At 32.9% G+C, this 16,476-nt stretch overlaps 1 protein-coding gene and 1 long non-coding RNA gene across 2 annotated transcripts in view; one reads left to right on the top strand and one right to left on the bottom strand.

The window, feature by feature from the left end:
* LOC124904473 (uncharacterized) overlaps positions 1-5,720 on the top strand; it is a 37,073-nt gene extending 31,353 nt beyond the window's left edge. The window contains exon 2 of the long non-coding RNA XR_007066775.1: positions 5,429-5,720. This is a non-coding gene — a long non-coding RNA (uncharacterized LOC124904473). The remainder of the gene's footprint in view (positions 1-5,428) is intronic.
* The window catches only part of RGS21 (regulator of G protein signaling 21), a 50,294-nt gene that overhangs the window by 18,207 nt on the left and 15,611 nt on the right, over positions 1-16,476 (bottom strand). Inside the window, exons 2-3 of the mRNA NM_001039152.3 lie at positions 6,032-6,102; positions 1,690-1,766 (exon numbers count right to left, since the gene is read on the bottom strand). Coding sequence (NP_001034241.1) covers positions 1,690-1,766; positions 6,032-6,042 — 88 coding nt within the window. The 5' untranslated portion in view covers positions 6,043-6,102. The remainder of the gene's footprint in view (positions 1-1,689; positions 1,767-6,031; positions 6,103-16,476) is intronic.

The raw sequence follows: 16,476 nt of genomic DNA, 5'->3' as shown, positions 1-16,476 counted from the left end.
TACACCATTTAACACTTAATAAACAGCAATTCCATATTCACATCTCTTTAATATATGCCCTTAGGTGGATTCTGGAAGTTACGTGGATCCTTTGATGTTTATACTTTCTAATTATTTCTAATTATTTCTAAATTAGTCATTTAGAAATAATATGTTTATAGTATCTAAATTCATCTAAGTCATTCTAACTTTATACATAAATAAGCAGCTGTGAATTCAGCTCTATTGTGTTTTATATTTTTCTAATATTCTAATTTTTATTCTTTATGAATTTAAAATAAAATGCCATTTGATTTATACAAATAATATTATAAACATTTTCTCTCTGTGTTTCACAGTGTCATTTTTCCTCTTTCAGATGAGATAGAATTGCAGATTATTTATAACACAAACAGAAGTTATACCTTTGTAAATGATTATTTTATATGTAAGTTGTGTTAACTAAGATATTTTATTAAAGACTAGGATGTTTTATTTATAATTGGCCAAAATTGCCTTACTGAACCATTCTATCAATTATAAATACATATTCACACATATACATATTAATACACACATATACATTTAAATATGTTTTCATATTCACTGAAAGTGAGAATAACACAGTTGATATAAAGTACTTTAAAATATTTTTTATTTTGACCAACAGTACATGTGAAACAAGTGATTTATTTAAATTTTCAAAATTTTCAACAGTTTGTATGTTTCTTTCAACTTGTACCAAAGGCAGTCGTGATCAAATTATAGTGGGCCAGCTGGGCGCAGTGGCTTATGCCTGTAATCCTAGCACTTTGGGAGGTCAAGGCAGGCAGATCATCTGGGGTCAGAAGTTCGAGACCAGCCTGGCTAATGTGGCGAACACCTGTCTCTACTAAAAATACACATATTAGCTTGGTGTCGTGGCATGCTCCCGTAGTCCCAGCTCCTCGGGAGGCTGAGGCAGGAGAATCCCTTGAACCCGGGAGGCAGAGGTTGCAGTGAGCAGAGATCACACCACTACACTCTACACTCCAGTCTGGGTGGTAAAGCAAGACTCCGTCTCAAAAAAAAAAAAAATACATATATATATGTATGTGTATGTGTGTATACACACACACACACACACAGCGAGCCTAGGGCTGGCACAGTGGCTCACACCTGAATTGAATCCCAGCACTTTGGGATGCTGAGGTGGGTGGATCACCTGAGGTCAGGAGTTTGATACCAGCCTGGCCAACATGGTGAAACCCTGTCTCTACTAAAAATACAAAAATTAGCCGGGTATGGTGGTGCATGTCTGTAATCTCAGCTACTCAGGAGGCTGAGTCAGGAAAATTGCTTGAACCCAGAAGGTGGAGTTTGCAGTGAGCTGAGATCATGCCACTGCACTCCAGCCTGATAGAGAGAGAGAGTGAGACTCTGTATTAAAATAAAAAATAATAAAAAATGTTAAAGTGAGTCTAAGGCAATGGAAAATTTCACTTGCTAGATTGAATTTCCCTTTTGTTTTAATGTACAGAGTTAACCTATAAACTTATTTTAGCCCCAACCTGATTCTATTTAGATTTTGGATTTTTATGAATTTATGATTATTAATAATTTTATACTTCATTGATTAAACTCATACTTTATGATATGTTACCAACTTTCAGAATTTAATAATTTATATTTAATTATTGTATTTTAAGCCTATTATTAGTTAAATCTTACCTTGGTTGGCTAAAAGCGTGTCCATATTTTCAGACCATGTCATTGTTTCCGCAGTTGGTGACCTGTAGAAACAGCATCTAACCTTGACAATAGCATTGTGATCTTTTTCTTCTTTAACCAATAGTAATATTCGAGTTACATGTATTTTGAGTTACATCATTCAAATGAACTTCATGCTGTTAATCAAACAGCCAAATGTCAAAAAATTATACAATGCTATTTACAGTAGTTAGCTATAGTGACATAAAGTGGGATGTAATTTGACATCAGCAAATTATTTATTAATCTAGCTGACAGTCTTAAGAATATTTGAGGCTTCTTAAATTCTAATAAAGGCATAAAAGATATCGGTTCTGTGGATCAATGGTGAATTTCTTTTCAACTATGAGTATATTATTTGTTAATTTATGTGACATTACTCTAGCCAAAAAGTTATGATAGCAATGGTGATGAATAAACTATTTTCTAAATTTTTATAGTGTAAAGATTATGTCATAATTATGCATCTCAAAAGAGTTCAAAAAAGTTTTAAGAATTTCTAGCATGTGATGAACTTGAAAACATTTTGTTCGTAATATTTCAAAACGTCTTTACCTACTCTGAGGCAGCCTTTATTTCTCTTTAGACTGGTATACTTCTAGTTCTGAGCTGATTTATTTAAATCTAGGAATCTGTCAAGACAGAGTAATATCTTTTCCAAAGCAGTCAAAAATTTATAGACTTAAGTCTTCTGAAGAAGGTTACTTTTGGGGATGTGATGTAGAAATCATAAATCAGGTTTAAGATATAAACTTTCTGAGATGCAAATATATCATACATTACTCCTCTTAATAAACAAAGATCCTGATGAAATAAGCCCCTATTCATAGAAAGCATCTGCTGCCCAGAAATAAAACCACGTTGGATTATGTAGCTGTGATGTGCAAATGACTTAGTTATGGAAAGAGAGGGTCCAATTTAAAGTTTGTATTGAAATTACCAATAATAAAATAGAGAAAAACTCATATATCGCAATTCTTATAAAACTTTTGTATTTGCACGGCAAGATAACTAATCTTAAACATACTAGTGTGAAGTGATTCCTATGCTTTTGTATTACTTCCTGTAATTTGCTGCAGTTTTTATAGTTTTTGCTAGGATTGATTGTACTTCCTCTACTGATGCAGTTGTAGTTGCATCTTCAGTTAATAATGGTCATCCTCATTAAGGACACATAGAGAGGACACTGTAGCTAAGAATTCATTTTACTATTTTCCATTACTCACATTTCCAATCTAAAATTTCCTTCTCCTGTTGTAGGCAGCTGACTTTCCTTTCTTCCTTGACTTACTAAATCTTGGGGACACAGATTACCTGTGAAACCATTTGGAAATGGTGTTTTTTTTCATTCAAATAGACACAAAAATTGAGTTGTTCAGTTTCTGTCTTTCATAAATGGAGGTTGAGACACAATGCTAGATTTAATTTTACATTGAAGATATTTTGTGTACTCTATAACCTGTTACTCAAATAAGCTTATGTTATATTTCATATAACTCAAATATTAGAACTTGTAGGAATTCTAAAGTTATACGATCATTTAAAATACACATGCTTAAAAATATTCCTGTTTGTATACTAAAATTTGGCTGCTAGCAGGGTATTCAAATTAAAGCTACTTAGACCTGTGGAACATATGCTAATGAATAGGATAGAGAGGAACCTGGCCATGCAGAATGCCCATTTTGAATGAGGAACAGGCAGCCAGGAAAAACTGAAAAATAAAATCTAGACAAATTCATTCAAAGATGAACATTTATATTCCCATTAGTATGTAAGTCATCTGATGACAGGACTAAATGTTATTTTCTAGCACCAAGAACAGTGTGCCTGGTCTATGAAATATTGAACATATTAACAAATAAATAATGGATGACCAAACCCCAAATATTGACACATATTAAAGCCTTCAATGGAAGAGGGTAAATGGCCTTCAAGATGCTGATAAATTACAGTGATAAAAAGTATTGAAAAGTGTAGCTAAATTGTATTAGCTTCAAAGGCATAGAGTGTTCTGGGAAAGAGAAGATGAAAAATAATGTGAAAACGTCACTGAATCATCATGGACCTCATTCTCAACTCTGAGGTATGTGAGGTTGGAGAGAATAGCTGACATCCATTCTAGAAGGCAGTGTCCTTTAAGGACAGACAGGTTTTACTTAATCCAAAAGCAAAAAGGCATATTTCTTGAAATCTTTTTGGATATAAAGGAGTATTTATAGAATGAAGGTGTTTACATAAATAATAGCTATTTGTATCATCTTCATTAATGTAGAGAAACAGTAAGAGAAAGAAAGCAAAGTGTGGGAGATGGTGTAGAACCAAGGATAAAAGAAAAATTCCTAATGTTTTGAATTACAGAGGGATGCTAAAATGTTACAGATATTTTATAGATAAAGACATGGAATACTATGGATAATAGAATTAGTTATATGGGTATATCCTAGTATTAATCAAGGTCCACAAAATGCTGACATTGTTTTTAGGAGAAAAAAATTGCCCATCGGCTCTGAAGGAGTACCTCTGCTGGTGTGTAGCAATGCCTGGAATACCCTCAGCTCATTCCTTTATAGCCTATTTCTTATCCAGAAGGTTAAATTTTGACTATCTGAGATGTTGAAAGAGTTGGAGGTAACATAGCATTTACTTTTCAGAAATTAGGTGAAGTGTAACTATTTTAAGGAGTAATGCTTGTTTGTTGCCAGTTAAATTTGTAAATTTTGGAGTTTCTTGTAATTCTGTGAAAGAGCAAATTGATGGTATCTATGAATAAACTGAAATACAATATTTATAATAGCACTAAAATGCACAACTATGTATTGGATGTTTACAATGCATACCACATTGTGCTACGCATATCATAGACTTCATTTAATCTTGAAAATAACAGTCTGTTTTATTCCAATATTACCAAAGAGTAAAGAGGGTCAGAGATACAAATAAGTAGTGCAATATTCCACAGACAGTAATGGCCAGAGTTAGAATTGAAACACAAGTTTGTCTGCTTTAACCCAAGTTATTTCATACTTCTTAAATGGATGAGTTAATACATATATATTTGTACTTTATTCATGTTTTGGAACATTTATAATAACTACCTAAAAAGTGTTTTTTTCCTGCAATAGAGATTTATCATATTTCATAGAAATACTATAATTCCTCTAAATAATAGTTAAAATTGTGGTAACTGGCTGCTCAACTGAAAGCTTACACGAAACAGAATTTAAGAATTCATGAACAATATTATTCATGAATTCTTAAAGCTTGTACACTATCAAATAAAAATAGGGCATTTCTTATGGTAGATGGGAGTAAGAAATATCATCTTCTGTTTTTAAAAAATGTAACTATATAAATGTTAAGAAAGAAATCTATTGAATAAAAGTTGGAGAAAAAAGAGGATGGTTGATTTTAAACTCTACTGACTTGGTTGACTTTTACTTGATATGTGCTATCTGAAAAAATGGACAATGGCCACTCCCTCATTTCTTTTTTTCTTCCTTTTATTGAATTTTAACAGCAGTTTTGTCTGGCTCTTTTCATTTCTGTGTTTATTTCCTGTAAAATTGTGATGCATAATCAGAGTAAGTTTTTGTTTGTGTATGATTTGCCATGAAAAGTCACTGTGTATCTGAAGCCAAAATTACACTTAGTATTTCATGCGGTTTTGGCTGATTTCCTTTCTATTTTCTTCATTAAGCAAGTGCCATCAAGGCCAGCAGTACCCATATTATATGTCCAGAGAAGAGCCAGGCCAGATGGGAACTGCGTGAAAGCAACCAGTTATCTTGCTAATTATGCCAGCTAGAACCAGTTGTATTGCATTAAAAAATGTGGAATCCAACAACTTAGCTGTTCACACTCAATTAGCAGTGTGCTGGAGAATGGAAAACTCAAGCAAGGAGTCCATGTGCTCCAGGAAGTGACAGCTGCTTCCTTACCCAGCATTTAATATCCATGTAAAATTTTTTCAATAAACGTTGTGATAATTTTTGCAAGAATCATGTATATGTTATGTCTCTAATTCATCTCATAATTTAAAAAAAACATAAAGTTCAGTGGTCTATCTCCACTTTATAACCTTTCTTTAGCCCACATGAAGAATAAAGTGCAAAAGTAAGCCACAAATTCTTGACATGTTTTCAAAAAGAAGAAATCAGTAGAGAAAGGAGAAAAAATCAGGAAGACAACAATTAGCGTATTTATCATAAATGAAGGAAATAAAACATCGAGACTAAAAGAAGACTCAAGTGTTTCATTTGTACATCTTCTGAGATAAAAATAGCTGGAAACGGCAACTCACTTCACTGGCATTTTTCGTTCCACTGTCTGTCACAGATGATGCCGAGTTTCTCTTTCTGACTGATCTTCAAGCTGAAGGTAATGTGACAGCAGGAACATTACAATTAGTATGCGAATACCTATCCCCTGGGTTACAAATTGGCATTCTTTAAATTCTGCTATTCTCAGCTTTTTTATTTTTGTTATTAACTTTTCATTGGTCAAAACACTTAAACTTCTAAGTAATAAATAACTCTTTGAATAAATGTGACATTTCTCTGAGTCTGTGGCATAATTGAAATAAATTCCATCTGAAAGTTTTTTCTGAAGTTCATATTCATCTGTTTGCAAGACAACTATTGTTCACAGGAGGTTAAACCAATATATAATGATATACATATTATAAATATACATATTTATAATTAATATTCACCTTTAAGTCTTTAATCTGCCTAAGAGATCATTTTGTTTTCCTTTGTTCTTTGATTTTCAGAGAATCTGAGGAGGGCTCTACCTTTAGTATACTTATCTTAAACAACTATATATGTTTAACTATTTAAGCAATTTTATTCATGAACTAAAATGTTCTAATATAAGACATTGCAGTTTTCTTTGAAATTTATGCAGTTTTTATTGCTTAATAACATACATTTCTCTCTTTTAACCATGGATCTCAAGTCATTTTATGCCAATATTTCTTTATGCAATATGATGTTTAATGTAATAAGGCTAATATATTTATCAAAACAAAGACCATATATTGGCAATTTTAATTATAGTTAAAGTTTTATAACTTCATGCTTTGTCAAGCTTTTATCTCAATGTAATACAGTTCTTTGGTAGTAAAATTCAACTGGTATGTGTTTATGACCCTCAATGTCAATTAAAAACTCTTGAAAGATTGACAATTTTTCAGGTGGGAGAAAGAAAGCAGTCAAAAGAAGGTAAAAAATGTTCTTCTCCTTGACTTACCGTGGAAATGCCCTAGTTGATCTATAGAAATGGTTAGTATCAGTGGCCCTGGACTAATGAAACTGAGAGAAGTAGAAGAAATGACCTAAAAAGTCGGTGTATCATTAAGAAGGGAAATCATCAATCAGCACGATCCCTTTTGTTAATTCAAGCACCATTAAGTAATGTTCTTAGGATAAGCAAAAACTGAATCATTAAACATATTTTCACTTTTTGTTTTGCTCAGGGGGGATAATGAAGTATTAATTTTATAATATATGCTTGAAAATAGTACAGTTTGGAAAATACACTGTCAAAATTTAAAGACCCTCTTGGTTAAAAAAAAAAAAAAAGAACCATGCAAAGTCTTTAAGAAATAGGAGCCAGGAATAGGCTTATTTTACATTAAAATGTTAAAACAAAAATTTAAATTTCTATTTTGAGTTTAGTGCAATTGCAAGCATGCTTTTTCTCATAAATCCTTCCACAAACCACAATTATTGTTTAATGTGCACTTTCCATTCCTTTCAATCTTCATTGTTTAGAAAAAACTAATAATTGGATTTTATTTATCAAAATGAAGCCTCATAATACAATGAGCAGGTGAGGAAATAAGCTTTCTTATTAGGCTGAATGATGCTTTATAGCATTCAATGTATCTTGACAAAGGATTGCCATATAGATACTGTTGGGACATCTAAATACCGTCAGCTTTTGGTCCAGTGGGTTTAGGCTCCATTATCAGAACTTATGCACAGTGTAATAAGCTAAGTATACAACCCTCCCTGAAAAGATGTCTGTGTCCTAATGCCTGGAACATGTAAATATATTACTTTATGTGACAAAAGAGAAGCTGATTATCCTAGATTATCCTGGGGGATGGGGTGTAATTATAAGGGACCTTTTAAGAGGGGAGAAAGGAGGGTTAACGTCTAGTAGTAGGATATTTCAGGATGAAAACAAGATGTTGGAGTGATGTGAGAAAGGGGTTAAGAGCCAAGGAACGTAGGTGGCCTCTAGAAGCTGAAAAAGGCAGGGAAAGAGATAGTCTCCTCAAAGACTCCAGAAGCATGCAGCCCTGCCAATATCTTGATTTTGACCCAGTGAGACTGATTTTGGACTTCTGGTCCTGATATGGTTTGCCTGTGTCCCTACCCAAATTTCATCTTGAATTGTAGCTCCCATAATTCTCACGTATTGTGGGAGGTACCTGGAGGGAGATAATTGAATCATGTGGGCGGTTTCCCCCATACTGTTCTTGTAGTAGTGAATAAGTCTCATGAGATCTAATAATTTCATACGGAGTTTCCCCTTTTGGTTGCCTCTTTCTCTTGTCTGCCGCCATGTAAGATGTGCCTTTCAACAGCTGTGATTGTGAGGCCTCCCCAGCCACGTGGAACTGTGAGTCCATTAAACCTCTTTTTCTTTATAAATTACCTAGTCTCAGGTATGTCTTTATAAGCAGCATGAGAACAGACTAATACATGTCCCCTGGACTCTGAGATAATAAATGTATATTGTTTAAGCAAGTAAGTTGGTGGCAGTTTTTTACAACAGCAATAGAAAATGAATACATCTAGGGAACTCCTCTCTTTAAAACCCTCCTTAAGAGAAGGAAGGTAAGTAATAAAATAGGCATAAATTTTGAGACAAGAGTAACAAGTTCATATGCAAATGTGGATTCTTCATCCTGGACAATAACCTTGACCTTTCTGAGTCTCTTTGCTACTGATAGTATTGATAATACCTATCTCACAAAGTTATTTTGTGAAATTGAAAGAAAATATAGCAAGCCAACACATCTTACATAGGTTTATTTATATATGCTTATTTATTTTGTTTCCTTTCTCCTCATTTGACATTCACAGAAACATGGTGAAGATAATAATATGGGAGATCTTATGGACAATACTGTCATGCAATCAATGGGAATTTCTGTGGAAAGATATGAGATTTATTCTGCAATATTTTTAAATACTTGTACAAGAAATCATAGGTGCTGGAGGAATATAAAACTTTAATCAGACAGTATAAAATTGGTCATTCTGGAGAATTAACATGATGAGAGTATGTGTGGAATAATTGGAAGACTGAGAGGCAGATGGGAAAGTTAAAGATCATGTTTAACTCCATAATATATAACAATTATGTACATACATATATAATATAAATATATGTTTTATTTGTCAATTACAAAATTAATTAATTTAAAAAGTAAAGGGGATTTAGCAGAATCATAGAAGGTATTTCTTTTCAGTTTATGGGTTCATGACACAAATTATACTCATAAACCACTTTAGAGCTATAATATTTTTGGGAACTGGACTCTGCAGTCAACTTTCTAGTTTAAAAAGTAACATAGTTTTTTCTCCTTGAAATTGCAAAACAAAGTTTAAGAAAATTTTTTTAAAAAGTATAGTATGCTGGTCCAAACACGAGAGAACAAGGGTGGCTACAGATGGATGGAACAGTAAACATCATTGGTATTACGTCTGTGCAGAGGAGATGGGGTTAAGAGGGTCAAAGGAACAGATTTCAAATCTGGTAGCTTGAAAGAATGGTGATTCCACTCATGATCATGGCAATCCATTAAAAAAACAGGGTTAGGAAAATCAATACATAAAAAAAAGGTTTAGAGATATGTAGAACATTTAGATATGGTTTCCTTAACTTTCCTGTCATAGTAATTTCATAGGCATATTCAAAGACAATATAGAGCATTTAAATCTACATGAGACCCCACTATTAACCTAAGAAACTACTGCTGTTTATACTTCATCATTAAAGGTAGGATAAAAAAATTAATAAGAACTTAATTCTGGTACTTGCATAATTTAAGCAAAAGTATCATATTTTATCTTGATGCAAGTGCTAAACAATGTTCTTTTTTTTTAAAAAAAAATGCCGATTTGATTGTATGACATCCAAGTAAGAATGTCATAAAAGATTTGTGGGAAAAACACCATAACAGTTAAAATAATTGAGGATTTTAACCAATAATAGTTAAAATACTTCAGAAATACGTGTCAGAAACTTTCTGAGCATTATCTCCTTGGTTATTATTCTATGAGATAGTCAATATTTTTATTCATATTTTAAATATGAGGAAACTAAGACTCAAAGAGGCTAAATATCTTGCTTAGGGTTGCATAACTAGAAAGGGGAAGGGCTAAAGCAAGACTGAGTGGGGGCAACTTGGTATTTAGGTGGTAGTGATAGTTAAATCTGTTAGATTTAGTTTAACAGGTGAAATGACAGAGAAAAATGGAGCTGAGAACTGAGGGCTTAAATGTTCATGTATTCAATAAGTATTTAAATACTTTAGTGACTACTGAATGTAGAGTAACACTTATATTTTAGGAACAGAAAAGGAAAATGAGCTAGGGAAGATTTAATGCAATAAGCCAGAGAAAAGTTAAGGCTACAGTGTGGCATGGAATTTCCTTTAAAAACACTGTTCACAGACTTTTGGAAAGAAGAAAGAATGATCAAAAGGTCAGGTGACAAAGAGAGGTTAAGGAGAATGAGGAGCAATAAAATACTGTGAAATTTGTTAAGATGGTCTCTTGCACAGGTCACAGCAAAGGAGATCAACAAGAATCAGATTAGATGAGCACGACAGTTCACCACAAAATCGCACTGATCGTTATTTGCCCATATTATGTTTCTATTCAAATTATAATAGGAAAGGAAAGATTAATTATTTTTTTACAATTGTCTTCTTAGATTTATATAATAGGGTTATATAAGTGGTTTATTTTAGGACTAAATAATTTGAAAGTTAATTTTCTTTTCATAAACAAATGGGAAGAGAAAATTATATTTTCTTGATTCTGCTTTGCCTCAAGTTACTGCTATATGAGGTTCAATTTATAAAGCAATGAGCCTGAGTTGTGTATGGTTCATCAATTATTTCTGAGAGCGGTTCTAATGGAGAAGTTAGAAATGTTTTGAGCAATGGCAATACCACTGAAATGTGTCTGATCTCCCAAAGTGGCTGCTTGGAAATATAACGCTCATTTGGATGTATAGTTCTTAGTATGCTTGTTGACAAATTTGTTGCATTACTTGCTAGTCACACTTCATGATTGTTATGTCTTAAATGTATTTTCTTTGTGTTTTCTTAGAACATGTACTATCATTGATAGTCAAAGAAATATCTGCCTTAGTAAAATAAAATATTTAGAAGTTCAAGATTTCTGATGTAAGTAAAAATGTCTTTTCTTATGTTTTAAAAGTAAATAACATTTTTTCACTTTAGTGAATTCATATACCTCAATGAATTAATTAAAATAGTATGATAGATATAAAAGTATTGTATACATTTAAAAGTCAGCTTTTGGGAGGTAGAGAATGTTTAAATCCACATTGTAATCTCATAGTCATCATCATATTTGTTATCATTTGATCTGTTGCAATTTTCTTTTACTGTAGCTGAATATTTTTAGAACACAAAGATAAATAATCACTTAATTGACCCCTCCCCCTGTGTTTTACATTTCTGTGTTGCCATCGTGTATACACAGCATCCGTTAAACTATTCTCCTGAGCTAACCTTTCCTGTCTTTGCTGACTGGTGAAGACCTCAGTATTCAATGCAAAAATATGCAAGGCAGAGTAGCAGTCATGGGAGATATTAATAAAGCTAAGTAATATAATTTTAAAAAGAGTATTTTAACTGAAATCTATGTACACAATATTTTTTATTTAATAAAAAATAAAAAAGTTATTTTTTTATTAACTTTTTAATAAAAAATTTGATAAGAAATTAGCTCAATGGAATACCACAGTCTGGGTAGTAAAATTCTATTAGGTAATATCACAGTCTGGGTAGTGGAATGTTGACATACTGAGAGGAATGATTCCTTGTAAATTCTAGCATTTCAAAAACGTACAATATTTGAGATGGTACTAAGATTCTCTTAATATTTCGGGGCACTGATGCCTAATAAAAAATGGAAGTAACACAAATTTAAGCTATATGTGTCTATTACATCCAAATACATTTTAAGTATAGCATACAAGATCGTTGACTATTTTATAAGGGAATGGCTCAACATCTTTTATAATATATTACTAGAATAAATTATCAAAGCCATGATATAAATTAAAGTTTATTTAATTATGTTATTGCAACTATATCCACATTTCAACTATGAATAACTTCTACCATCCTATTTATAAACTATTCTGAATAGAAAAGGAAAAAGACAAACAAAATTCTCACCCAGCCAATCACTATTTTTTCCCTCAACTCATAACAAGATTATTTTTATTTATTTTCTTCATGACCAGGTATCTCCCCCGGCATGGTCAGTTTGCTTTCATATCATTTTTTTTTAACCCTTAACTTGTAAACTTCATTTTTTTTTAATGGAGAAGGAAAAATGGCAATTAAAAACTATCCACTCTTTCTTGCAAGTATTATAAAATACCTGGCTTGATTCTTAGGGATATTCAACCATTCATTTTTTTGACAGGTTAAATGGGTTTCTCTTAATATGTAGATTATTGCTGAAATAACTCTCTTTTTAACAGTATAAAGAAGGCAGGAAGTCATCTAATATGCGCACTGCCAGGCATCAGACAGTAACCAGGTCTTGCATTGAATTTATCATTCTTTGACTACTTGAGCCTTTTATTTTATTTTATTTATTTATTTTTTAGATGGGGTTTCAGTCTTGTTGCCCATGCTGAGTGCAATAGCACGATCTCAGCTCACTGCAACCTGCGCCTCCTTGGTTCAAGCGATTCTCCGGCCTCAGCCTTCCAACTAGCTGAGATTACAGGCATCCACCAGAGTGCTCAGCTAATTTTTGTATTTTTATTAGAGATGGGGTTTCACCATGTTGGCTAGGCTGGTCTCGATCTCCTGACCTCAGGTGATCCACCCTCCTCGGTCTCTCAAAGAGCTGGGATTGCAGGCGTGAGCCACTGTGCCCGGCCTGAGCCTTTTGATCTTCTGATTAGTGGTGCTTTAGGCTTGACTTATAGACTGGCTACAGGAAATTCAGAAATGTCATACATATATTAATTTTCAATTAACTGATTTTTAGATAATATGCTTTACACGGAAGAGCATTACGCAAGTTGTTAATCTGGATGCTATTACAACAAATATACTTTGTTCAACAGCAACTAAAAAATTTTTTTGTTGTTGATTTCCCAATGATTACCTAGAAGTCCAAAATGCTAGCCTGGTAGTATATAAACTGTTTTTCTAAAACACAGGTGTTTGTGTTTTTGTTTTCCCTCTCAGACACACTGACTGCCTGGTATTCCCTGAAAGTCCCACTGTTTCATAACTACTTCTGTTCATGAAATTTCTTCTACTTGGAATTCTCTACCCAGTTTTTGTCTTCTGTAATTTCTCAAGGCATAGCTTAAAAATTATACCCTCTTAGAAGCCTTTGGTGTTCTCCAAAGAACCAACCTATCAATAACCTTCCGTTGGTAGCATTGCGATGCTGCTGATTACATATTTTCTACTGCAATATCCAATGTTCCAGTCTTTTTTCTTATCTAAGGTAGAGACACAGTCTTGTACATCTCACAACACATGGTATAGTGCCTAGCACTATATGAATGTCCAGTGAGTATTTGCAAAAAGAATAAATGAAATGGATAGGTAGAAAAACAATACGTAAAACTAAGGAACACACTCAAAAAATGAGTAACCAAAAATGAGGAAGAGGTTCTTAAGTAAATTATTAGTGACAATGATCTCTATTAGTAAGCTGCTATCATGTGCAACACACTGCATACTAGCTTTAAAGAGAGTATCTAATTTCATTCTTATAAAAATTCTAAGATCCTCATTATATATGTGAGAAAATAAGCTCAGAGAATCATTTCCTTCTTCCCAAAAGTTACTTAGTTTAAGTGGTGGAGAAAGGATTCAAACAGGTTTAACTGATTCCAAAATCCATGTTCTTTCACGATTTAAAATTTCAAATTATGTTCATCCTTTGCTGCAACAAAAGAATAAAAGTAGCAAGCTTCATCCTGATGACCCATGAAATGATTTTTTTTAGGGAAGCTAAGCTCTGTGAGAATAATACAATGAACAGGTTTATTCGGGATCATACCTTAATACTGTTATTTGTAGGTCCAGATATGGTGATAAATATTTAATTAGAAGAGTATATGAAATACATGTTAAAAAGAGGATTTGTGCAAACTCATTAGGCAGGCTTTCAAGCTTTGTAATGACATAAGTGACAAGTGGATTATGGTTTATTTTAAAAGACGTGTCAACCCAATCTTGTTGGGGGAAGGGAAAGAAAGTGGAGAAAGAGAAAAAGAGAGATGGAACACATATTCTTTTGCAAATTTAACAAATGATTTCACATGCTTCATGCTGTTTATTCTGTGGGATTGTTCTCTTAGTAGTTAAATATACATACTCATAAATACCACATATTTCCTACTGTCTGTTTAAACTTTTGCAACTCATTCTTTATTTCCAATAGCTCTTTTCTCTTCAGCATCTGTGTTTTTCTGTGTTTTTTGTGTCCCAAGTTTCTTACATATATTACAACACAATTCAGAGGCCTCTTTTTTATTTTATCAAGTTTTTAAGCTAGAAATAGAAACAATGTCCAGTGACCTTCCATGATATAACTTTAAAAGTATATTGTACTCATTGTCCTATGAAAAGATCTAATTCTTCCTGAAATAGAATTCAGTATAGAATCCCAATATAGAATATAATTCAATTCTAAAACAAAAATGGAAGAATGTTAGTAGAAAATACTTCATAAACTGTATTTGATCTTGACTGTAATAGCATATAACTATTTATTATCTCTTCTTTAAAGGTGATAACCTAAAGTGAGCATTAAGATTTTTTACTCATGGTTACATGACAAGTACGCTCTTTAAATTAATAACTGCTGGATGGGGAATTGAAGCTCAGGTCTCTTTAAGTCCAAATATACTTTCTACTACACTTATGTTGAAAAGTTCACTGTCGAGAAACGTAGCCTAGATTAGCAAAGGCATGCAGACCCAAAGACAATGCTATATATACATCTTTTTATAATTATGATGTTTTTAGAGAGCCATATGTTAAAGTAAACTTTTTCCAAAGGATTAATAATTTTGAATTATATTTTAAGTCATAAACATGTTTTTACTTTTTTCAGCTTTTTATTTTGACATAATTATATATTCACAGGCAGATATAAAGACAGAACAGACAGGTTTCAGATCCTTTGCACAGTCTATCCCAGTGGTTGGCATGGTTTGCATCTTATATAATTATAGTGCAGTAACAAACCAGTAGTTGACACTGGGGTATATGTGTTTGCCCTTTGTCATTTTGTCACATTTGTAGATTTACATAACCACCAATGAAGTCAAGACACAGAACTATTCCATTACATCAAAGATCTCCCTTATGTTATGCCCTTATAGTACCTTCTCTGCATCATCCCTAACCCCTGGAAACCACTCATCTCTTTTTTTTTTTTTTTTTTTTTTTTTTTTGTCATTTTGAGAATATTATAAAAATACGATCATACCTTACATGACCTTTTGAGATGGGCTCTTTCCAATCAGCATAGTGTTCTTGTGATTAATCCACATCATTTCGCATGTGACTAGCCCTTGCCTTTTTATTGCTGAGTAGTATGTCATAGTATGTGTGTATCACTGTTAATTTAATCATTCACTACTTAAGGACACTTCTTATTTAGGGGTTTTGATCTATGACACATAGAGCTGCTATGAATAGTGTAGGTGTTTGTATAGACATACATTTTATTTATCTGGATTAAATGTGTAGGATTACAATTGATGGGTCCTATGGTAAGTGTGTGTGTGTGTGTGTGTGTGTGTGTGTGTGTATTTAAGAAACTGCCAAATTATTTTCAGAGACAATCACTTTATATGCTACCTGCAGTGTATGAGAGGTGCACTGTTTCTGCATCCTAATGAGATTTTTGTTTTGTCATTAAAGACATTTTTATCTGTTCTATTACCTAGATCGGCAGTGATAACTCATCTTGGTCTTAATTTTAATTCCCTAACAGCTCGTGATGTTGACCCTTTTTTTCATGTGATATTTGCCATCTATGTGTTCTCTTCAATGAAATGCCTCTTGTATTTTACCTTTTTTCTAATTGTTAGTTGTTATTTTTTTTTAACAGTTGAGGTTTTTTTTTATTTAAAAAAATTTTTTTGAGACTTTTGGATAGGAGGAGAGTATCTTGCTCTGTCACCCAGGCTGGAATGCAGTGGCATGACTGTAGCTCACTGACTGCAGCTTTGAACTGCTGGGCTCAATCCATCTTCCTGCCTCAGCCGCCGGAGTAGCTAGGACTACAGGTGTGAGGCACAGGCGCCATGTCTGGCTAAACTGTTGAGTTTTGAGAATTCTTTATGTATAGTAGATATGAACTCCTTATTAGATATGCAGCTTGCAAATATTACTTCCTAGTATGTGGTTTGCCTTTTCATTCTCTTAGCAGGCTTTTTCACAGAACAAAGGTTTTTAATTTTGGTAAAGTTCAA

Source organism: Homo sapiens, chromosome 1 (assembly GCF_000001405.40).
Source record: "Homo sapiens chromosome 1, GRCh38.p14 Primary Assembly".
Taxonomy (NCBI): Eukaryota; Metazoa; Chordata; class Mammalia; order Primates; family Hominidae; genus Homo; species Homo sapiens.
Note: the sequence above shows the minus strand (reverse complement) of the source record. Positions and strands in the feature narration are given on the sequence as shown.